The sequence below is a fragment of the Homo sapiens genome, chromosome 1 (assembly GCF_000001405.40).
Source record: "Homo sapiens chromosome 1, GRCh38.p14 Primary Assembly".
NCBI lineage: Eukaryota > Metazoa > Chordata > Mammalia > Primates > Hominidae > Homo > Homo sapiens.
In genome coordinates, this window is record NC_000001.11 from 1613228 (window position 1) to 1635001 (window position 21774).

Below are 21774 nucleotides of genomic sequence, written 5' to 3' on the forward strand. Positions count from 1 at the left end.
CTCAGCTCACTGCAACCTCCACCTCCTGGGCTCAAGCAATTCTCCTGCCTCAGCCTCCCAAGTAGCTGGGACTACAGGCGTGCACCACCATGCCTGGCTAATATTTTTTTTTTTTGTATTTTTGTATTTTTAGTAGAGACAGGGCTTCACCATGTTGGTCAGGTTGGTCATGAACTCCTGACCTCAAGTGATCTGCCCTCCTCAGCCTCCCAAACTGCTGGGATTACAGGCGTGAAGCCATCGCACCCAGCCAATCCCAGCACTTCAGAAGGCAGAGGTGAGCAAACAGCATAGCCCAGGAGTTTGAGACCAGCCTGGGCAACATGGTGACACCCTGTCTCTACTAAAAATTTAAAAATAACCGGCATGGTGGTGCATGTCTGTGGTCCTAGCTACTCAGGAGGCTGAGGTGGGAGGATCACTTGAATCCAGGAAGCAGAGGCTGCAGTCAACCAAGATAGTGCCACTGCACTCCAGCCTGGGCAACAGAGCAAGACCCTGTCTCAAATACAAAACAAAACAAAAAACAGTTGGTAGAGAGCTTAGGATTTTATTTTTCGTTTACACAGGGAATCCAAGAAAGGAGACAGACAAAGTGAGTCTCAAGGATGAGAGCAGAGAAAAGCTCGAGATAAGAGCTGTGCAGCCGGGTCAGGAAGTGATCGGTCTAGGTCGGAACAGGAGAATCAGTTAGACACAACGGATGTGTTTGAGCCTTTGGAAAACGGTATCGTTAGGCATGTGGCGAAAACGTTGGGGTACTTGAAAAAAAGGCTGGCCATGGGTTAGTAAAAAGCTAGATATGTGAAAATATTAGGTAATTATTAACTCAAAAGAAAAAAAAAGATTGTACAGGAATTGTGGCATGGTTTTATACTGTAGCAGTGAACAGCAGGTACTCAATCATGAAGAGCTAAGCCTGATTTCATCACGACAGCTGTGAAAGTTGCAGGTACCAAAATGGAACTACTTCCACCAATCCCTAAACAAATGGAGTCGGGAGGCCACGAAGGGGGAGCTCTCATGCAGGAATACCTGCAGCAGGCCTCCTCACAAGACGCTCCTGCACGTCCTGCACGTTTGCCTGTAACCGGACTTACTGCAGGGAAATTCCTCAGGACTGCAGTATTCTAGATAAGCAGCTTGCACAAGGACGTCGGCCTGGTAAGGCTCTCTCCAACAACAAGCTAACGCCCACTCCTGCAGCAAGCGCCCACAGCCAGTGGTTTTTGTTACAAAACAACTTTTGTGAGCTCATCTGTATTTTCCCCTTCGCCCGGCCCTCTCAGATAGGCCTATGATCTGTCATGGCACGAACAGCCTAGGCTGCAACCCCCTGCGATTCCCAGATTAACTCACTTGTCCTGGAGAGCCTGCCTCTGGGTTTCCTTTCAGGTTGACAGTTTGGGAGCTAACAGGACCACGTGAGGGGTGCAGCGGGGAAGATCAGCCAGGTTCTCAGGGACCTTCTCCGGAAGTACGCAATGTCTACAATTAAGAAATGAGAGGCCGGGCGCGGTGGCTCACGCCTATAATCCCAGCACGTTGGGAGCCCTAGGAGGGCAGATCACGAGGTCAGGAGTTCGAAATCAGCCTGGCCAAAATGGTGAAACCCCGTCTTGACTAAAAATGCAAAAATTAGCTGTGCGTGGTAGCGCATGCCTGTAGTCCCAGCTGCTCGGGAGGCTGAAGCAAGAGAATAGTTTAAGCCCTGGAGGCGGAGGTTGCAATGAGCCGAGATCGCGCCATTGCACTCCAGCCTGGGCGACAGGGCGAGGCTCCGTCTCCAAAAAAAAAAAAAGAAAGAAAGAAAGAAATGAGAAACTAGCAGTGCATTGTTCAGAAACGCGGAGACTTCTCTCAGGAGAAAGCGAGAAGCAAGCGTCCAACTCTGGGGTGCAGAACCCGGGGCGGGAGGACGGGCCCGGACTGCCGTTTCTCGCTGTGTCCAGGTCTGCGTGACTCAAAACCCCGGATAGGGCCCGCACTGGTGGAGTCGGAAAGAGGTGGCTGCGGCGCGGCAAGTGCCGCCAGTGCCAGCGAGCGCGACGTCGCTCCCAAGCCCCCGTCTCTATGGCAACCGAGTGCGTCTCTAGGACCGCCACTGCGCAGGCGCCCGGAGGCTAAGCCGCTCGGAACCTAGCTGCGCCACGCAGGGTAGGCGACGCAGACGCTCCCGCGTGACGCACTTCCGGTGCTTGCCCTGCCCATCCCCGTGGCGGGGGCGTGGCCATGGCGGGGGCGCTCCGGCGGGGGCGGGCCCTGGGCTCCCGCCCTTCGGGTCCCACAGTTTCCAGCCGCCGCTCTCCTCAGTGCCCGGTGGCCCAGGAGGGCCTGGGAGCCCGAAGCCGTCCCCGAGTCGCTCCTAGGTCACTGGCGCGATGCGGGCCGTCCTCTCGGCTGATGGTGCGTGCGGGCGCGGATCTCCTCCCCTGGTCCTCCGCACCGTCCCCGAGTCGTTCTCCGCTCTGGCAGAACGCGAGCGCCGTCCGGTTCCCGCTCCCGCTGGCCCAGCAGCCCCGGGCTGGACTCGGCGTAGGGTCCGCACGGGATGGGCTGGGGCTGCGCGCGCAGCGCCGCCGCGGGGCCTCCTGGGAGTTGTGGTCCGGCCACCCGCGCGGGACTCCAGCTCCCGGCAGGCCTCGCGCGGCCCGGGGCCAGCGGCGCTGGGGTCGGCGCTGGGGTCGTCGTCCGGGCCGGGTGGGCTGCGGCGCGCGGCAGGCGCTCTGGCCTGGCCTGGCCGCCGCTGAGCAGTCGGGGCCGGTGGGTGGCCTCGAACGCCGGGACAGACCGACAGACGGACTGGCCGGCGGTCCCGCGCCCCCGAGCGGAGCGGGCGGGACGGAAACGTCCGGGCAAGTTGGGGTCGGCAGGTACTGCGCGGCCCTGGCAAGGTCTGGCAGCGGACAGGGCCGGGCGGCCTCCGCGAGCCACGGGCACGAATGACAGGGGGCGGGGCGCGCTCCGGGTGGGGGTGCCCGCCGTGCCCGCCCCTGGCCCGCCCGTTCCCCTGCGCCGGCGCCCGTGCGCGTCCCGGAGCCTCCTGACGTCTGCGAGCCGCGGCCGCCAGACCCCGGGCGCACGCAATTACGGGCCCGGCGCTGGCGGCTCCTGCGCGCTCAGACCCCAGGGAGCCCATCCGGGCAGGCGGCGGCCCTGAGTGTCGCGGCCGTGGGCCCGAGTGGACCTGGAGCCGGCGGGCAGCCCCGGGGGCAGACAGGCGACCGAGCCGCGGGTCGAGGTGCTAACTGTGCATCTTGGCATCTCCCCTCGGCCACAGGGTTGGAAGCCCAGCGAGGCTAGAGGCCAGTCCCAAAGTTTCCAGGCATCAGGGCTGCAGCCCAGGAGCCTCAAGGCGGCCCGGCGGGCGACTGGACGGCCGGACAGGTGAGCTCTTGATCGTCCGCGGCCTGATAGTTTGCACTTGGCTCTCCCACTTTGGGGCTCCGTGGAAGCCACGTCAGAGAGGCTGTGTTTGTGTCTGAGCATGCATGCGAGTGGAGGGGAGTGGTGAGTAATCCCGCGTCTCCTCTCTGAGTTCGGAACCCATGGAGGAAGAAAGCAGAGGTGCCAGACAGGCCTCTGATAGGCACCTGCAGGATTGGGGCAGAGCGGCCGCAGCGCAGGAGCGCCGGCAAGCCTGGCCCTTCCCGGGAGGCCCCCTTTGTCCGGTTCCACCCTGGCCTGTTGCCTCACATGCAACAAGTGTCTGAATGTGGCGCTCTCCTGGCCGAGGGCAGCCCTGGGCGGTGAGTGGGATGACACCCCAGCCTGCAGGGTGCCTGTAGGTCTCCACCCAGATGGGCAGGATTGGAGGTGGCCGCAGCGCTCGTGGGCTTTCCCTCAGCAGGTGTCTCCATGCTGGCCTCCCCGCCTCAGGGCTTCATCCCACTCCGTGGGCCTGATCTCCCTGGGGCACCTGGGATGTCCATCTGCGTTAGCTGGAGCTACTCCATGGCCTGTGGCGTGCCACACACAGCGGCATTTCGGTGTCATTAGGCACAGCTGGAGGTGCAAGGAGGAGGGCAGCCTCATGTCCAGTTCCATGTAACTTGCTTCTTCTGAATAAAGGCAATTTGCTAACTTTCTCGCTAAATAGGATTTGGTTTCTATGGCTTTTAAAGCTTCTCCGATAAAATACTTGCAATAAGGGAACTCTCTCCTCCTACACTCTCCTGACTGATGGTTCGGAAGTCCTCCTGCCCTCTGAGAGCTTGCAGTTTCTTGTGAAAAAGAGAAACTAAGCAGCAATAGAACAGACCCGGTGTCTGCTTGCGTGGTTAAGACGGTAAATGCTAAATGTGTGACACTGCCTTTAGAAACCATTTTCTCCAGCCTGGCTTGCTGGCTGCCCGTCTGGTTTGCTGTGTTGTGTCTCCAGTGGCTTTAGCTTCCAACAGGAAAGCCTGGTAGCCGAGCGAATCTGTGACCCAGGAAGTAGCAATTAAATGCCTGGGACGCTGCCTCGAGGCTGGTGTGTGCTCTGAGGTAAGTTCCGATTTGCCAAAGCACATCTGTCGATCTGTCGCCCGAGTCTTCACACCCTGACTGCCTCCATCATTTTAAACATCGGGAGCAGTTGCCTGCAGCGGGGTTCAGATGCCAGCCAGGGGCACAGCCTGTGAACTGTGGGTAGATGGCAAAGTCTAGCATTTCTGGCAAAGGAAAAAACATTTGGTAACTCTCTGAGTAAATTTCTGACTGAGATGAAGATACCCATTGTGGGGCAGCATCCTGAAGCGGAAGCCTGGGCTGTATGTTTCCAAGAGGAGGAGCAGGAGTGGCCACAGCCATGTACGCCACGATGTACACCAGGGGCTGCGTGGCCACAGCTCTGGTCTGCTGGTCTGCTCCCTGGAGCCCCTCCACCAGTGCTGGGCTGTGGCTGTGGCTGTCTCTGGTTTGTCTTTCTGGGAAACCTTGGCCAGGTTGGTGTGAGGGCAGGGCTAGCCTTGGACATCTGCACTTCCCATAGCAGCCTCTGGCCCAGAGCTCACCCGCTGTGGGCAGGTGATCAGGGTGATCAGGTCCCACGGGTCCCCTCCTCTGCACCTGGAGCCTTGTGGGTGTAGAACAGAAAAATAGGAGGGGGCAACCCAGAGGCCTCCTGCTCTCCAGGAAGGAATGGATGCTGGACAGGTCCAGGGTGGAGGCAGAGGGAGTGAGGGGCCCTTGGGGGAACATCTGTCCTAGAGGGCTTGATTTCCAGGCTGCCCACCCCACTCCTACCCCTAATCTGGTGTTCCTCACCTGCCTCCAGGAAGTCCTCACCTGAGGTCTGCAGCGGGTGTGCCAAGCGCCAGCCCCACATCACCTGCTCCCAGGCCTGCCCAGGGGATGGGTCCTGTGGCCAGTACCCTCGGGGTCAGCTTGACCCAGACCCAGCCCAGAACCTGTCCCATGGCCCCAGGAGGACAGGATGGTCAGGGAAGCCCAAGGGATGAGCCCTTTTGTCCACAAGCTTCCCTCTGACATGGGCAGGCTGCTTGTGCGACCCCACAGCCCCCACCTCTCATGAACAATGGGAATGGGGCAGGCCCCTCGATGCTGGGCTGGATCCTCCCGCCCCTAAGCAGGTGCACTCTGTCCCCTTTGAGAAGAGACCAAGGGATACAAGTGCTGGGTCCTGGCGGGGTGCCCCTCCTCCCTGCCTGTGGGGGTCTCATTACTGCCTCCTGCCCCCACCACAAACACCCCCTAGAGAGGCCTTCGGAGGCAGGTACTGAGCCCTGGGGCCAGGGTGCCAGGAGCCCAGTGGCAGGTCTTGGGTGACTGCTGGCCCTGGGGCAATGGTGAGAAAGCCAGGCAGGCAGCTGCAGGAAGGAGCTGAGGAGAAAGGCGGCAGAGCCTCAAAAGCTGCTGGCGGCCGGGCACAGTGGCTCACACCTGGAATCCCAGCACTTTGGGAGGCCGAGGCGGGCGGATCACGAGGTCAGGAGATCGAGACCATCCTGGCTAACACGGTGAAACCCCCGTCTCTACTAAAAAATAGAAAAAATGAGCCAGGTGTGGTGGCAGACGCCTGTAGTCCCAGCTACTCGGGAGGCTGAGGTAGGAGAATGGCGTGAACTTGGGAGGCGGAGCTTGCAGTGAGCTGAGATTGCGCCACTGCGCTCCAGCCTGGGCGACAGAGCGAGATTACGTCTCAAAAAAACCAAAACTGCTGGCCCCTCCAGAGGGTCCAGGATACTGAGCTCCTGAGCCTGGGATCCACGCGCATGTGGTCTGTCTGCACACTGGCACCGCAGAAGGGTTGGCAGGCGGGCAGGCATGGCTGGAGACCCCGCTCAGATGAGGCGGCCACTCCAGGGCAGTGCCATGCTGGACAGAAGGGACTGCCTTGGAAGTGGGACAGACCCCAGACCCTTGGGGTGGGGGCCCTGCAGGGGAGGCCTTGAGGAGGCGCCGGGTCTACAGGCCCCTGTGTGCTCACATCCCAGCCCCCGGGGAGAGGTGGGAGTGGGTGGGCGCACCCAGCTCCCCTGTCCAGGCTCGTCCCCCTTGTTGGGGCAGCCCTCAGCAAGTGGGGGGCTGGTTCCAGGCACAAGAAGTGAGGCCAGGGAGGAAGCCCTGCCTGTGTTCAGCCCAGTTGTGCCCCAACTCAGGTGGGCTTCCATGAGGGACAGCCTCTGGGAGGGTGGGGGTTTGTGGGCCAGGGCTGGAGAGCTGCCTGGCTGTGCTAAAAATACCGGGCATGCTGCAGACAGGTGCCAGTCTGGGGCACAGGCTACCCTGTCTCAGGCTGATGGCCTTGGCACTCCACCCCACTGCCCCTGTGACGCGGGGGCCGCCAAGGCTTGGTCTTGATTCCCAGAGGCCCTGCTGGTGACCTCCCCGACATCTCTGCCCTCTGCCCATCCCCCCAAGGGCAAGATTTGCCAAAGCACAGGACACATTGGCTCACACATGGGGCACCCTGCCCCTGTCTTTTTGGAAAGGTCCAATGGCATATGGCCAGCGGGTCGGGCAGGTGTGGCCGCTGGCCTGGGCTAAGCTGGCTGTGGCTGAGAGTCTGGGCGCAGAGACAGAAGGCGCCCCCTGCTGCAGAAGGATCACAGTGTGGGCTCATGGCATTGGCTTTTTTGCGGTCCCAAGTCCTTCATCTCCATTGCCGGGCCCATCTCGGGGGTCGGCAGATGCGTGTCCCCTACTAGCAAAGACCTCCAGTCGGTTCTGCGGCTGCCTGTGATGAGCCCTGCTCTGGCTAAGTGGAGGTGTTTGGCAGGGAGGAGTCCCCGGCTTAGTGTGATTCCAGCTGTGGCCGATTCTGGTGGGATCCTGGCAAGGAGGAGGTTGCGTGTGGATCTGGTGGAGGTGGACGGCCTGGCAGGGGGTGGGGTCTGCAACCCTAAGGAGCAGTGCCCCTCTCACTTGTCCCCCCGCCAGCAGACTGCTGCGTCGGCCTCCCCGGCCTGTGCCATTCTGTGGCGAAGGTCCCTGTGTAGAGGAGGCTGGAGTGGGGGAGCTCAGCCCAGGCCATGCCTCACCCTTCTTGGGTGCTCCATGGGCAAAAGCTGAGGTCAGTTTGTGGATCCTGGGAGCAGGAACCCTGCAGAGCCTGCCCCCCAGCTGGTGGCAGAGCAGGCAGTGGGGAGCTGCTGGGGCAGGAGGGAGTGACCTCCCTCCAAGACAGCCCCCAGTGGGGATGGGAGGGTCTGCAGAGATCTGGAGAGTCAAGTGTCATGACCCAGGTGGGGCCATGGAGCTGGGCTGGCCGGTGGAACTGTGTCCACCTGGACATGCTCTGGGTGAGGCGCAGTCAGCGCTGGGATGGCTAGAAGCGGCCTGTGCTGGGCGGGTCCTCGGGACACAGGGGCTGCCGCTGTCACAGAAGCCTGGCACAGATTCTCTCTGGTTCTTATGTTTCATTCATGCAGCCATTCAGTCAAAGCTGAAGCTGGTGGGGTCCTGGCCAAACAGGACGCAGCAGTGCACCACCTGGGGGCTGCCCTCAGAGGCCCCGCGAGGGGAATAGTGCCACAGGGGCCCATGGGGAGGGCCTGTGGGTCACCCTGGGTGGTGGGTGGGCTCCTGGCTCCGCGGGGCCTCCGAGGGCAAGGTGGGGTTTCTCTGGCTGCCGGCTGTGGAAGCCGCTCATGCGGAGGCCCAGCCGGGAGGCTGCAGGAGGCCGTGGGGAGGGCAGAGCCAGCTGCCTTCCCTGATGGCTGTGGAGCTGCCCACGGGACCCCTCTCCTTGTCTGGGGCTCACTGGTGCCACAGGAAAAGGAAGCCCCGGTGCTGGAGCCTGCCCTGGCCCAGGCCTTGGTGCACATCTCGGCAGCGTCACCCGACAGGTGAGGGAGGCAGCGTCACCCGACAGGTGAGGCCTCTGGACAGATGAGGCCATGTGGGGTTTCCCTGAAGAAGCAGAGCCCGGCTGCTGGGTGGGGGCTCCTCTTAGTCACTGACAGGGAGAGCTGTGCTTGTAAAACATCCACCCATTCCTGTGGAAGCTCTCGCGGTCCTGGGCAGGGTGAGGAGGGAGCATTGGAGAGGCCAAGCTGGCCAGGAAGTTTGTGCCCCTGAGAATTAGAGGGAGTCCTGTGCTCCAACTCGCAGCCGGGGCACGGATCGGGGGCACGGATCGGGAGCCCAGCCCTGCAGGCAGAGCCTCTGCACTGGACTCAGTCTCCGGAGTGGGGCTGGGCTCCTCACCGGGCCTTGCTCGGGGGACAACCTGTGGGGCTCAGGCCCCTGAGTCAGAGCAGGAGTCGGGGGCTTTGCTGTGGCCCCTCCTCACTGCTCACCTGCAGCCTCTCCCGGGCCAGGGTGTCTCCTGAACTGGCCTGAGATGCAAAGCACTGGGTTGCAGTGCTGCCCAGGTGGAGGGCTGGCCTGTGAGGCCCAGGCTGGCCTGTGTCCTGGAGTTGGCAGGGCCCCCTCCCATCCTCAGCCACATCCACCCAGTCTCAGGGGTCCCTCCAGCCTCCTGGGACTGCCGTGTCCCCCACCTCTGCTTCAGGCAGTGTTCCTGGGCTGCCTCCTTCCCTGGCCATGGGGTCCTAGTGGTTTAATGAAAATTGAGTGGTGGCCCTCCCCTCCCCGCCAGGCTGGAGTGTAGTGGTGCGATCACAGCCAGCTGTAGCCTCCACCTTCTGATTTTCCCTCTTAATGTTCACATCCATTCTTCTTGTTAACGAGACTGTGCTGAAGCCCAGCATGGTGGAGAGAGGCAGCCCACGGTGACTCACGTCTGCAGAGTGAGCTCTCGGGGGTCAGCGCCCAGACTGGGGATTAGCAGTCCTGGGCCTCGAGCCCTGTGGCTGACTCCATCCCTGCCTCCGGCAGCCTGGATTTGCACCTTTGTATAAACGGAGCCGCCTGGCATGGCGTTTGCACTTGGCTACTTCCCTCCATCTGCTGGTGAGCTCTGGCTTGTGCTCTGTGTGGCGAGTGGGTCCCTGCTTGGTTGGGACTCAGCCCCGCTTCAGGACCCCGTGGCCACTGAGGACCCAGGAACCTGCCTCTGCTCGAGTATCCGGCCTCTGTCGTGAGTGCCTTGCGTGGCCAGGGCCACTTTTCCAGAGAAGGCTCTGTGGTGCTGTGTGGCCTCGCTGCACTGTCCCTGACGTGCAGGGCCCAAAGCTGGTGTCCCCCAGGAGCAGTGTCTGGGGACAGATGCCTCCTGGTCCCGCTGGCCGATGCCTGCTGGTCTTGTACGGCGCCTGCATCGTGTTTGCCGTTTTTCTGTTGGGTTGTCTGACGTTTTCGTGTGGATCATAGGAGTTCCTCGCCCTGTGTGGACACGAGTCCTCTGAGGGACGCGTGTCACGGTGTCTGCTCACTTGCCACTGCCCGTCCAACCATGTGAGTGTCTCGGGGGACGGCAGCTCTTACTTTAGTGAAGTCCAGTGTCCAGCTCATTAATTGGCTGTGGGAAGAGATGGTGGTTTTCTTCCGAGAGCGTTATTTGTGAACCTTTCATGAAGCCCCCGGGGCCAGGCTCCCTGATCCCTGGGCCCAGACCACCCTGCAGTTCCCGCGCCAGGCTGGCACGGCGCCCGCCTTTCCCACCGGCCTCCCTGGTGCCAGACTGCGGGCCTCCTTGGGCCCTAGGGCTTGAACCAGCCTGCCTGCCCCGTTGGGCCTCTCTGCTCTCCCGCGGAGCCCACTCTGACCGGGAGTGTCCCATGGTGGCCTGAGAATACCCTCTGCCCACAGGTCCCGAGCAGCCCGGCCCACCATGGACCCCTCTGCCCACAGGTCCCGAGCAGCCCCGCCCAACATGGACCCAGACCCCCAGGCGGGCGTGCAGGTGGGCATGCGGGTGGTGCGCGGCGTGGACTGGAAGTGGGGCCAGCAGGACGGCGGCGAGGGCGGCGTGGGCACGGTGGTGGAGCTTGGCCGCCACGGCAGCCCCTCGACACCCGACCGCACAGTGGTCGTGCAGTGGGACCAGGGCACGCGCACCAACTACCGCGCCGGCTACCAGGGCGCGCACGACCTGCTGCTGTACGACAACGCCCAGATCGGTGCGCGCCAAGGGCAGGCGGGACGGGCAGGACCCGGGGGCGGGAACGCCCCTCTGACCCCACCCCACCCCCAGGCGTCCGGCACCCCAACATCATCTGTGACTGCTGCAAGAAGCACGGGCTGCGGGGGATGCGCTGGAAGTGCCGTGTGTGCCTGGACTACGACCTCTGCACGCAGTGCTACATGCACAACAAGCATGAGCTCGCCCACGCCTTCGACCGCTACGAGACCGCTCACTCGCGCCCGTGAGTCCCGGGCCGCACCGGCTCCTGTGCGGCGGGTACCCAGGCCTTGCCACTGGGGCCTTGGCCTTCGGGGAGGGTGCTGCCTCCTGACCGCTCCCAGGAAGACGGAGCAAGTCTCTCCAGAGCCGTGGCCTTAAGCAGTGGTGCCATGGGCAGGGCACAGAGGGTGGCCTCTGGGTGGCTCTACAGGCAGCAGTGGCCATCAGGCAGCCAGCATCCCCCAGGGCGGCATGAGACCTCCAGGAGGACAGCCCATACCCGGAGCCAGCACCTGGGCTGTCTTGGAGGCTGCTGCGCTCTGGTCCGAGGGCATCAGCTCGGGGAGAATCTAGCCTGCTTGGGGCAAGGACAGCCAGAGGTGCCACCCCGTCCCCTGCATTTGTCACCTTTGTCTCTGGCCCTCCCTGCACGTGGAGGGAGGTGTGGTTGTCTTGGGAGTGCTGTTGGCCAGGCCTGCTTTCCTCATTCCTCCCTTCCCACATGCTGAGCCCACCTCTGGGCCTGGCTGTGCCCCAGCTCACTGGGAGGCAGCAGGCATGAAGCGACCGCACCCAGAGGTCTTGCCGAGGGTGGGCCCGGGTGCCTTCCCAGCCTGGCATCAGGGAAGTCCCTGGAGGAACGTGGTCCGCAGGTTCGCTCCAGGCCCCTGAGCCCAGGGGCATTTCCTCACAGCGTGTGGAGGATGCTGACCTGCTGGACCGGCCATTCCCGGGCAAGAGCTGGGGCTGCGGAGCCCAGCAGGCTGGGTGGACAGGGGGCCTGCTCCACTGCATCGCTCTCCCAAGTGGCTCAAGATGGGAAGAGATGGCGGTTTTCTTCTGAGAGCTTTATTTGTGAACCCTCTTGCAGTGTCACACTGAGTCCCCGCCAGGGCCTCCCGAGGATCCCACTAAGGGGCATCTTCCAGGGAGCGAAGGTGGTGCGAGGCCCCGACTGGGAGTGGGGCTCACAGGATGGTGAGTGGAGGCAGAGGGGCGGGGTCAGGGCTGGGCTGTGGCTGGCTCATGGCTCAGCCTTAGCCTGCTGGGGGGGCCTCTTTCCCCAGGAGGGGAAGGGAAACCGGGCCGTGTGGTGGACATCCGTGGCTGGGATGTGGAGACAGGCCGGAGTGTGGCCAGCGTGACGTGGGCTGATGGTACCACCAATGTGTACCGTGTGGGCCACAAGGGCAAGGTGGACCTCAAGTGTGTGGGCGAGGCAGCGGGCGGCTTCTACTACAAGGACCACCTCCCAAGGCTCGGTATGAGGCTGTCACACTGACTCCATCAGCCCTCCTGCCTTGGCTGAAGTCCCAGAGGGGAGGGGCCGCTGCCTGAGGCCTGGTCTGCCACCCTCCGCAGGCAAGCCGGCGGAGCTGCAGCGCAGGGTGAGTGCTGACAGCCAGCCCTTCCAGCACGGGGACAAGGTCAAGTGTCTGCTGGACACTGATGTCCTGCGGGAGATGCAGGAAGGCCACGGCGGCTGGAACCCCAGGATGGCGGAGGTGAGCCGCCCCGCCGTGGAGCCCTGTGTGCCCTGCCCTCCCAGCCCTCCGCCCCCTCAGCCCCTTCCTCCCCAAGCGTCCAGCCCGACCCAGCCACAGCTCCATGACCCGCCACAGTTTATCGGACAGACGGGCACCGTGCATCGTATCACGGACCGCGGGGACGTGCGCGTGCAGTTCAACCACGAGACGCGCTGGACCTTCCACCCCGGGGCGCTCACCAAGGTGCCGGGGGGGCTGGGCTGCGCCTCATCTGCTTGCTTCTGTAACCCCTTCCACGTACCCCCTTGGCCTTGGGGGGTCAGGCAGGACTAGGGTGCCAGCTGCACCCACGAGTCCCCAGCCCTGAAGGAAGGGGAGGGACTGGTGGGTGGAGGTGGGTGGGGTCAAGGAGAAGAGGGGGTTGGGTGTGAAGGAACCCAGAGGAGGGTATGTCTCTGGGAGCTGGAATGGGCAGGTTAGGGCCTCCCTCTGTTCCAGGACACCAGGAAGGCAGGACAGCTTCGTGGGCGGGAGGGAGGCGGCTGGGCTAAGATGCTCCTGGTTAGTGCTGTATGGGGGCCGATGGGGGTGGCTGGTTAGGACAGGGAGGTGGATGCTTGGCCTAGAGTGGTGGGGGAGGTAGTGAGGGCTGCCTGGGAAGCAGGATGGCAGGGAGGGGGCTGGAGGTGGTGGCGGTGGCAGCTTGGATGGCCCTGGGAGGGGCAGGCCCGGGGCAAAGCGTCAGAGCTCAGCTCTGGATCTGGGGTCCTGGATACCAGGCACCTTTGAGGAGGCGCCGAAGGGAGTCATGAGACGGGCTTGTAGAGTGAGTTCCCTGCATATGAGGGCTCAGGTGGGGCAGAGTGGGCCCGTCCTGCACCCCATGGTCCTGGGGCCCCACCCCCACGCTGGCTCACGGGCCCTGGCCATGTTGCCTGCTGCTGGTCAGCGTACAGCTTCCCAGGGCCAGCCACCTCGGCTTCACACCTGCCCAGAGCTGGCTTCTGTCTGCCTGGACACTCCTCCCATGGCTCTGGGGCTAGGGACACCCAGGGCTGCCTTGGACACCTGGGGCTCTCGTCCAGCCAGAGCCTCTGGCAGTGCCTGGGGTCGGGGTCGGGGCCGGGGCCGAGTCAGGCCTGCCTGTCTCGTGGAGCTCAGCAGGTTGCCCTCCTGTTGCATGAGCCTGGGCAGCCACACACAGCTGGGGGGCCCCTCACGCCCCTCTTTGTCGCTCAGCACCACTCCTTCTGGGTGGGCGACGTGGTCCGGGTCATCGGCGACCTTGACACAGTGAAGCGGCTGCAGGCTGGGCATGGCGAGTGGACGGACGACATGGCCCCTGTGAGTCCCCCTGCCACCCCCGCCGCTAGCGCCGCTGCCCCCCACACCTGCAGCCTGCTGTGACCCCCTCCCCTCCCCGCAGGCCCTGGGCCGCGTCGGGAAGGTGGTGAAAGTGTTTGGAGACGGGAACCTGCGTGTAGCAGTCGCTGGTCAGCGGTGGACCTTCAGCCCCTCCTGCCTGGTGGCCTACCGGCCCGAGGAGGATGCCAACCTGGACGTGGCCGAGCGCGCCCGGGAGAACAAAAGTGCGGCACAGCTCAGGCGGCCAGTGGGAGGTGGGGCTGCCCCTGGCCACCACTAACCTCAGCCCTGCCCCCAGGCTCACTGAGCGTGGCCCTGGACAAGCTTCGGGCCCAGAAGAGTGACCCAGAGCACCCGGGAAGGCTGGTGGTGGAGGTGGCGCTGGGTAACGCAGCCCGGGCTCTGGACCTGCTGCGGAGGCGCCCAGAGCAGGCAAGCTCCTGACCCCGTCCTCCCATACTGGCCAGTCTGAGAGTGAGGGGCAGAGGGCCAGGGACTCACCTGCTGGCACTCTTGGCAGGTGGACACCAAGAACCAAGGCAGGACCGCTCTGCAAGTGGCTGCCTACCTGGGCCAGGTGGAGTTGATACGGCTGCTGCTACAAGCCAGGGCGGGCGTGGACCTGCCGGACGACGAGGGCAACACGGCACTGCACTACGCGGCCCTGGGGTGAGGCCTGGGAGGGGCCCGGCCGGCGGGGCTGAGCCTGTGCGTCCTGGGGTGAGGCCTGGGAGGGGCCCGGCCGGCGGGGCTGAGCCTGTGCGTCCTGGGGTGAGGCCTGGGAGGGGCCCGGCGGGGCTGAGCCTGTGCGTCCTGGGGTCGGGCCTGGCGGGGCTGAGCCTGTGCGTCCAGCCACCGGGCCCGGCGCCCTCCCTCTCCCACTTCCTCTCCTGTCAGGAACCAGCCCGAGGCCACCAGGGTGCTCCTGAGTGCTGGGTGCCGGGCGGACGCCATCAACAGCACCCAGAGCACAGCACTGCACGTGGCCGTGCAGAGGGGCTTCCTGGAGGTGGTGCGGGCCCTGTGTGAGCGCGGCTGTGACGTCAACCTGCCCGTGAGTGCTGCTCCCTGGCCTGGGTGCCCCCTGCCCGTGAGTGCTTGTCCCTGGCCTGGGTTCCCTCTGCCCATGTGTGCTGCTCCCTGGCCTGGGTGCCCCCTGCCCGTGAGTGCTGCTCCCTGGGTGCCCTGGCTCTTGACCCAAGCAGAAGTCACCCCCAGGTGACCACTGACTCCGCCCCAGCAGGACGCCCACTCGGACACGCCCCTGCACTCCGCCATCTCGGCGGGCACTGGAGCCAGCGGCATTGTCGAGGTCCTCACGGAGGTGCCAAACATCGATGTTACCGCCACCAACAGCCAGGGTTTCACCCTGCTGCACCATGCCTCCCTCAAGGGTCACGCGCTGTGAGTGTGGGGTGGGCACACAGCTGCAGCCGGCCTCTTGCTGTGCTGCCTGGGGGCAGTCCCAGGTCCCAGACCAACCTCCCTGCTCCACAGAGCTGTGAGAAAGATTCTGGCTCGGGCGCGGCAGCTGGTGGACGCCAAGAAGGAGGACGGCTTCACGGCGCTGCATCTGGCTGCCCTCAACAACCACCGCGAGGTGGCCCAGATCCTCATCCGGGAGGTGCGGACGCGGCCCAGTCCTGCCCAAGGACCGGGGAGCGGGAGGCCCACTGGGGTCCCTGGGCTGAGCCCGTCCCCACCCCTCCCCAGGGCCGCTGTGACGTGAACGTGCGCAACCGGAAGCTGCAGTCCCCGCTGCATCTCGCCGTGCAACAGGCCCACGTGGGGCTGGTGCCGCTACTGGTGGACGCTGGGTGCAGTGTCAACGCCGAGGACGAGGAGGGGGACACAGCCCTGCACGTGGCGCTGCAGCGTCATCAGCTGCTGCCCCTGGTGGCTGATGGGGCCGGGGGGGACCCAGGGCCCTTGCAGCTGCTGTCCAGGGTGAGGAAGTGTGGCGTGGGGTGCTGGAGAGGCTGCGGTGGCGCCGGCAGCAGGCTCTGGGCAGGGCCTGTGCCACTGTCCACCTTCCCCTCCAGTGATGGCCCAGGGAGCCAGGCGTTCTGGGGGTGGAGCAGATGGGAGCCAAGTTCTATGTGATCCTTCAGCCTGCACCCCTAGGCAGCCTGGGAAAGGGGTGGTGCCCATGGGATGGGGAGAGGTGGAGCTTAGGGTCTCAGAGCTCACCTAGCAGGGCGCCCCTCCTGCCTGTCCCACTTGGGTTCCGGAAGAGGTGCCCTTGCCTTGTATTTTAGACATGGGGCGCCGGCTGCTGGGGCTGCCAGGTGCCAGGAGACGCCTCCCTCGGGCCTGCCCCGGCGCCCGCCCTCACCGGCGTCTGTCCTGCCGCCCAGCTACAGGCCTCGGGCCTCCCCGGCAGCGCGGAGCTGACGGTGGGCGCGGCGGTCGCCTGCTTCCTGGCGCTGGAGGGCGCCGACGTGAGCTACACCAACCACCGCGGTCGGAGCCCGCTGGACCTGGCCGCCGAGGGTCGCGTGCTCAAGGCCCTTCAGGGCTGCGCCCAGCGCTTCCGGTGAGTCCGTGGACGGCGGGGATGGGGTCCGGCGGCCTCCGGGCCCCTCTCAAGCCGCCTCCTCCCCCTGCAGGGAGCGGCAGGCGGGCGGGGGCGCGGCCCCGGGCCCCAGGCAAACGCTCGGGACCCCCAACACCGTGACGAACCTGCACGTGGGCGCCGCGCCGGGGCCCGAGGCCGCTGAGTGCCTGGTGTGCTCCGAGCTGGCGCTGCTGGTGCTGTTCTCGCCGTGCCAGCACCGCACCGTGTGTGAGGGTGAGTGGGGGGCCCCGGGGTGGGGAGGCCCGGCTAGTAGGGCCGCAGCCAACCGCGCTCTCCTCTTCGCAGAGTGCGCGCGCAGGATGAAGAAGTGCATCAGGTGCCAGGTGGTCGTCAGCAAGAAACTGCGCCCAGGTGGGTGAGGCTCTGCGCCCCCAACACGCCTCCTGCTCAGCTGGTGGCCCGCGGGTCCCCGTCCCCCACCCCTTCCCTCCCACACTTCCGCCCATGGCCCTTCCCCAGGTTACACCCCGCCCTCCCAAGGCTCACACCCGGCCCCCCAGCCCCCAGCCCCCAGCCCCGCCTGCTCCAGATCACACCCGGCCCACAGCCCCGCCTCAAGGTAACACCCTCCTCCCCCATCACACCCCAGCCCCGCTGGATTTCACGGCCCCTCCCAGATCACACTCCCTCCATAGCCCCACCCCAGATCACAGCCCACCCAGAGCACCGCCCCCCCATCACACCCCGGCCCAGCTCACAGCCCACCTGCAGCCCTGACTCCAGCCCGCACACCACCTTATGCCTGATTTCCACGGCTCACCTCCTGCCCGCACCCGGGCCCCACCTCTGCCTCCAAATCACCCACCCCGCCAGCCCCCCTTGCAGGTCACAACCCGTCCCAGGTGACACCCCGCCCCCAGCCTCGCCCCCCCGCAGCTCCCTGCTCCCCGCATTCCCCCACCCGGCCTCCCAGCTCACACCCGTCCCCCACCCCGCAGACGGCTCTGAGGTGGCGAGCGCCGCCCCCGCCCCCGGCCCGCCGCGCCAGCTGGTGGAGGAGCTGCAGAGCCGCTACCGGCAGATGGAGGAACGCATCACCTGCCCCATCTGCATCGACAGCCACATCCGCCTCGTGTTCCAGTGCGGCCACGGCGCATGCGCCCCCTGCGGCTCCGCGCTCAGCGCCTGCCCCATCTGCCGCCAGCCCATCCGCGACCGCATCCAGATCTTCGTGTGAGCCGCGCCGTCCGCCGCGCCCGAGCTGCCTTCGCGTGCCCCCGCCCTGTGTTTTATAAAAAGAAAGATTCTCGGACGTTGCCTCTGCTGTCTGCCTGGGGGACCGGGCGCCTCTGGGGTCCTCCCCTCGGGACACGCGGGCGAGCCTGGGGGCGAGGGGGGGGGGGCCCTTCCCTGGGTCCGCCCCGCCCGCCCCAGGCTCTCGGGTCCAGACTCCCGCCCGGACTGCGGCCTTCGGGCCAGGACACCCTCCAGGCGCGGGCACGGCCGCCTCCCGCCCCCCAGGCCCGGGTCCGACGGGGCGGGGACTCCTGTGTCTGCCCCCGGGCCCCCCTCGCTCTTCCGTCCTGGGGGCGGCCGCGGGGACTCGCGCTCTGATCCAAGGGGCCCGACACTCCCCAGGGCTGTGGGGTCCCGTCCCAGCAGGGAGTTAGTTGGGGGGCGTCCCAGGCAGGGTCTGGGGGCCGGGCGCACGCAGGCGGGGTGACGAGCTGGGGGGGCGGGGGGCGGTGTCGGAGCAAATACGGCGGCCAGGCCCAGCCTCTCGCGCTTTCCAAGAACCGCCCGCGGCCGCCGCCAGCTGCTTGGCGCTGACCCCGTTGGCCGGGCTGCCGTCACCCTGGGCCCGACGCCGGCGCGGAAAACGGGGAGGGACGAGACAGACACAGGCCGGTCTGGCTCGGAATCTCCTGCTCCTCTGCCCAATCCCCCACCCCCGCCCCGCGGGACGCCGGTGCCCGGTCTCGGTCCCAGCCCAGAGCCGCTCGCGCCTGGACGCCGGCCGCCCCGTCGAACCTTTGGGTCTCCGAGCTCCCCGCCCCCGCCCCCAATCAGGACCGGTCCAGACCTCCAGGCCCGGCGCTTAGCTCCGTTTCCCGTCCCTCCCGTCTCCCTCTCCCCTTTGCTGGGGCCTAGCCGGGGATTTAGGAGCCACACACCCTCCACCTCACGCGCTACCCTCCACGGGGCTTCCCGCAGCCAGGGCCCGCCCCTTCCCGGCTCCCCGGGAGACCCTGGCAAGTTCCCTCCCTCCGCCCCGCAACCTGGCACCCTCCGCGGCCCTTGCCTACCCACGCACCCCCTCCCCGCCTCCCCCTCCACCGCCCCATACTCACTGCCACGTCCCCATCCGGCCATCCCCTCCCAGCTCTCGGGGACACTGTCAGGCGAGCGACGCGTCTCCTGCGGCCCAGCTCAGCTGCCTGGGCCAGGATGGAGACTCCGCTCATGTGGGGCTCAGGGGTTTTTTGAGGATTCCATTTGGGAAAAAAGCCACCAGATCACTCACTGCCCAGCAGTGGGGGCTTGGGGACCCCCACTGCTACCCTTTCCTAAGCGGGAGCCCTGGCGCTGCCCTTCCCGGGCTGCCTGGGGCCCTCTTCGCTCCCCCCTCCGAGGACCCCGCCCAGCAGGCCATGCCCAGGCCTCTGCCCCTGGCCCACGGGACGCGGGTCCCCATGCCCCCGGCTGGAGACAGCAGGCAGCTCGGCCAACGGACGGGCCAGCTGGTTCCCTTCAGGGGCAGCCTTGCCCCCTCTCCCGCCCCGTCTCCCTCCCCCCCACCACACCGGGCTGTAACCCGAGCCGCCGAGCCACTGCCTCCCCTCCGGATCCTCCCCGGAGGCTCTGCGGCCCGGGCCCCCGCGCCTTGCTGCCCCATGCAGCCCTGAGCCCCACAGCAAGTCTGCCATGGGCCGCGGGGCCCGTGTCCCCTCGGAGGCCCCGGGGGCAGGCGTCGAGCGCCGCTGGCTTGGAGCCGCGCTGGTCGCCCTGTGCCTCCTCCCCGCGCTGGTGCTGCTGGCCCGGCTGGGGGCCCCGGCGGTGCCGGCCTGGAGCGCAGCGCAGGTGAGCGGCGGGGGGGAGGCCAGGTGCCGGGTTGGGGGGGTCCTCACGTCTGTGGGTCTGGTCTATCGGGGGGCCCGCAGGACGTGTGCGGGGTGTGCGGGGTGTTTGAGGGTCCGGATGTGCGTCCCGAGGTCGGAGGGTTGGACGCCCCTGTGTCCAGTTGTTGGGAGGGGTGGGAGGCCTCGCCCTGCTGTTCAGCCCCTTCCCCTCCACTGGGCCGCGTTCCCAGGGACGTGCAACAGGGCGCTCAGGTTAGGAGACCCGAAACCACAGGCAGACAGGACCCGCCACGCCCGCTCCCAGCCCTGGGCACCCCCACCCCCGTTTCCTTCCAGTCCATTTTCCGCGGCAGTTTTTGGTCCTGGGGACCGTCACCGATGCCTCCCACGCACGCTTTCTTCCCTGAAGGGAGACGTCGCTGCGCTGGGCCTCTCGGCGGTCCCCCCCACCCGGGTCCCGGGCCCACTGGCCCCCCGCAGACGCCGCTACACGCTGACTCCAGCCAGGCTGCGCTGGGACCACTTCAACCTCACCTACAGGTGCGCCCTGGCTGGGCCCCGGGGGAGGGGGCGCGGCCGGCGCCCGCTGAGCTCACTCTCCCTGCAGGATCCTCTCCTTCCCGCGGAACCTGCTGAGCCCGCGGGAGACGCGGCGGGCCCTAGCTGCCGCCTTCCGCATGTGGAGCGACGTGTCCCCCTTCAGCTTCCGCGAGGTGGCCCCCGAGCAGCCCAGCGACCTCCGGATAGGTGGGCGCCCGCCCCCGCCCCGGCCCGGCCCTGCGCGCCCGGCCTCTCAGCCCCGTGCTCCCCCCAGGCTTCTACCCGATCAACCACACGGACTGCCTGGTCTCCGCGCTGCACCACTGCTTCGACGGCCCCACGGGGGAGCTGGCCCACGCCTTCTTCCCCCCGCACGGCGGCATCCACTTCGACGACAGCGAGTACTGGGTCCTGGGCCCCACGCGCTACAGCTGGAAGAAAGGTGACCGTCCAGGCTGGCCTCCTGGAGGCCTCTCCTCTGCAGCACAGTGGGCTGCCGCGGTCGGGCTTTGGGGCAGACGGCAGGAGGGACCTTCCGGGGTGGTGGCTGCCACTGGAGTCTAGCAGGCAAGGAGGGGAGCCCGTGGGAGCCCCCATCCCGGCAGCCCTGAACTCCCTTTCCCATCCCCCTGCGCCTCTGGAGCGGGAGCTGGAGCTGCATTCCTGGGGGCCGAGCTCACCGCCTGGGCCCAGAACATTCTTATCTTTCCGTGGCTGCGGCCGAGGGCGGCTCCGCGGCTGCGCTCCAGCAGATACACCGGGCCTCGGGGAGCTGGCCCACGGGCGGCGGGGCTGGGCCCGGGGCTCCCAGGCGCTGACCCCCGGGGCCCGCAGGCGTGTGGCTCACGGACCTGGTGCACGTGGCGGCCCACGAGATCGGCCACGCGCTGGGCCTGATGCACTCACAACACGGCCGGGCGCTCATGCACCTGAACGCCACGCTGCGCGGCTGGAAGGCGTTGTCCCAGGACGAGCTGTGGGGGCTGCACCGGCTCTACGGTGAGTCCCTTTGTCGGGCGGGAGGGCGGGGACCGGGCGGTCCTGAGCCAGGCCGTGCTCCCCACGCTCCCGATAGGATGCCTCGACAGGCTGTTCGTGTGCGCGTCCTGGGCGCGGAGGGGCTTCTGCGACGCTCGCCGGCGGCTCATGAAGAGGCTCTGCCCCAGCAGCTGCGACTTCTGCTACGGTGATGCCCACGGGGCCGGGACAGGGCTGCGTGGGAGCTGGGCCTTGGCCATGGTCGGGGCTGAGGGGGCACTGACGGGGCTCTTTCCCCCACCCGGAGCAGAATTCCCCTTCCCCACGGTGGCCACCACCCCACCGCCCCCCAGGACCAAAACCAGGCTGGTGCCCGAGGGCAGGAACGTGACCTTCCGCTGCGGCCAGAAGATCCTCCACAAGAAAGGGAAAGTGTAGTGAGTGAGCGCCCCGGGCGGTCCTCGGGGTGGGCAGCCCGCGGGCGGCCTTGGGGCAGGGGTGCGGGGCAGGCAGCCGGGGGGGGGGCTGTGCCTGCAGGAGACGCCCCGCCCCCCTGCAGCTGGTACAAGGACCAGGAGCCCCTGGAGTTCTCCTACCCCGGCTACCTGGCCCTGGGCGAGGCGCACCTGAGCATCATCGCCAACGCCGTCAATGAGGGCACCTACACCTGCGTGGTGCGCCGCCAGCAGCGCGTGCTGACCACCTACTCCTGGCGAGTCCGTGTGCGGGGCTGAGCCCGGCTGATAAAGCACTTTCTCTCTGATGGCTCCTCGCTCATTCTTGGGAGGGCAGCGGGCAGCCAGTCTGGGCAGGTGGACACCCCAGCCCCTGGTCCACCGAGAGCTGGGCGTCCTCGGGGCTGGGCACCCCTGCTTCCCCGCACAGCGGACAACAGGTACAGCACAGGACGGGACGGGCTTTGCTAAGGTGGCCCCTGGGAAAGTGGGATAAGCGGAGGCCCCAGTGACAGGGGCAGCACGTGGAGCAGCACCTGGGGTAGCCCCAGAAGCCTGGGTTCTGTCTAGGACTTGCTCAGAGCTGGGGGAGGGAGGCAAAGGGGGCTTCCTGAAAGATGTGGCTGGGATGGGCCTCCAGGATCTTCTGCAAGGA

At 66.2% G+C, this 21774-nt stretch overlaps 2 protein-coding genes and 1 long non-coding RNA gene across 35 annotated transcripts, besides 8 other annotated features; 2 read left to right on the forward strand and 1 right to left on the reverse strand.

The window, feature by feature from the left end:
• On the forward strand, positions 504-17378 carry MIB2 (MIB E3 ubiquitin protein ligase 2). Of its 31 annotated transcripts, none has more exons than XM_047446594.1 (21): positions 504-2855; positions 3281-3387; positions 10162-10452; positions 10547-10718; positions 11568-11674; positions 11764-11958; positions 12059-12201; positions 12319-12426; positions 12682-12744; positions 13423-13527; positions 13610-13772; positions 13847-13980; positions 14069-14217; positions 14446-14602; positions 14792-14952; positions 15046-15172; positions 15262-15495; positions 15807-16084; positions 16158-16339; positions 16412-16477; positions 17065-17378. In XM_047446594.1, exons 1-21 carry the CDS (start codon positions 2233-2235, stop codon positions 17301-17303), a joined length of 3804 nt encoding a protein of 1267 aa, XP_047302550.1. In that variant the 5' UTR covers positions 504-2232; the 3' UTR covers positions 17304-17378. The 31 variants fall into 31 exon arrangements, 29 of the variants coding, with proteins under 29 accessions (XP_047302550.1, XP_047302624.1, XP_047302633.1 ...); XM_047446731.1 differs by having other exon boundaries at positions 2273-2406; positions 10162-10472; XM_047446737.1 differs by having other exon boundaries at positions 2273-2406; positions 10162-10472; positions 15906-16084.
• Positions 1768-1937: an enhancer, noted in NCBI's record as "active region_26". NCBI's record gives its function as "activates an Ori minimal core promoter by ATAC-STARR-seq in GM12878 lymphoblastoid cells {active_cell/tissue: GM12878}" and the evidence as "EXISTENCE:reporter gene assay evidence [ECO:0000049][PMID:35858748]".
• Positions 2038-3087: a silencer, noted in NCBI's record as "silent region_83". NCBI's record gives its function as "represses an Ori minimal core promoter by ATAC-STARR-seq in GM12878 lymphoblastoid cells {active_cell/tissue: GM12878}" and the evidence as "EXISTENCE:reporter gene assay evidence [ECO:0000049][PMID:35858748]".
• Positions 3118-3207: a silencer, noted in NCBI's record as "silent region_84". NCBI's record gives its function as "represses an Ori minimal core promoter by ATAC-STARR-seq in GM12878 lymphoblastoid cells {active_cell/tissue: GM12878}" and the evidence as "EXISTENCE:reporter gene assay evidence [ECO:0000049][PMID:35858748]".
• LOC124903821 (uncharacterized) lies at positions 11530-18559 on the reverse strand. Its single transcript, XR_007065352.1, has 3 exons — positions 18418-18559; positions 12423-17348; positions 11530-12150 (listed from the first exon to the last, which is right to left on the reverse strand). It is a non-coding gene; the product is annotated as an uncharacterized LOC124903821 (long non-coding RNA).
• Positions 15480-15579: an enhancer, noted in NCBI's record as "active region_27". NCBI's record gives its function as "activates an Ori minimal core promoter by ATAC-STARR-seq in GM12878 lymphoblastoid cells {active_cell/tissue: GM12878}" and the evidence as "EXISTENCE:reporter gene assay evidence [ECO:0000049][PMID:35858748]".
• Positions 16989-17552: an enhancer, noted in NCBI's record as "H3K27ac-H3K4me1 hESC enhancer chr1:1565596-1566158 (GRCh37/hg19 assembly coordinates)". NCBI's record gives its function as "activates a minimal SCP1, AML or CMV promoter by ChIP-STARR-seq in primed H9 embryonic stem cells {active_cell/tissue: H9 hESC(primed)}" and the evidence as "EXISTENCE:reporter gene assay evidence [ECO:0000049][PMID:30033119]".
• Positions 17000-17249: a silencer, noted in NCBI's record as "silent region_85". NCBI's record gives its function as "represses an Ori minimal core promoter by ATAC-STARR-seq in GM12878 lymphoblastoid cells {active_cell/tissue: GM12878}" and the evidence as "EXISTENCE:reporter gene assay evidence [ECO:0000049][PMID:35858748]".
• Positions 17350-17499: a silencer, noted in NCBI's record as "silent region_86". NCBI's record gives its function as "represses an Ori minimal core promoter by ATAC-STARR-seq in GM12878 lymphoblastoid cells {active_cell/tissue: GM12878}" and the evidence as "EXISTENCE:reporter gene assay evidence [ECO:0000049][PMID:35858748]".
• MMP23B (matrix metallopeptidase 23B) lies at positions 18946-21427 on the forward strand. 3 transcript variants are annotated; one of them, XM_047432838.1, is made up of 8 exons: positions 18946-19147; positions 19556-19686; positions 19754-19893; positions 19961-20128; positions 20521-20685; positions 20762-20872; positions 20975-21105; positions 21224-21427. In XM_047432838.1, the coding sequence occupies exons 1-7, from the start codon at positions 18992-18994 to the stop codon at positions 21100-21102; spliced, it is 999 nt and encodes a 332-aa protein (XP_047288794.1). In that variant the 5' UTR covers positions 18946-18991; the 3' UTR covers positions 21103-21105; positions 21224-21427. The 3 variants fall into 3 exon arrangements, with proteins under 3 accessions (XP_047288794.1, NP_008914.1, XP_047288793.1); NM_006983.2 differs by having other exon boundaries at positions 20975-21101; XM_047432837.1 differs by having other exon boundaries at positions 20975-21098.
• Positions 19653-20464: an enhancer, noted in NCBI's record as "H3K27ac-H3K4me1 hESC enhancer chr1:1568259-1569070 (GRCh37/hg19 assembly coordinates)". NCBI's record gives its function as "activates a minimal SCP1, AML or CMV promoter by ChIP-STARR-seq in naive and primed H9 embryonic stem cells {active_cell/tissue: H9 hESC(naive and primed)}" and the evidence as "EXISTENCE:reporter gene assay evidence [ECO:0000049][PMID:30033119]".
• Positions 21428-21774: the final 347 nt, after the last annotated feature.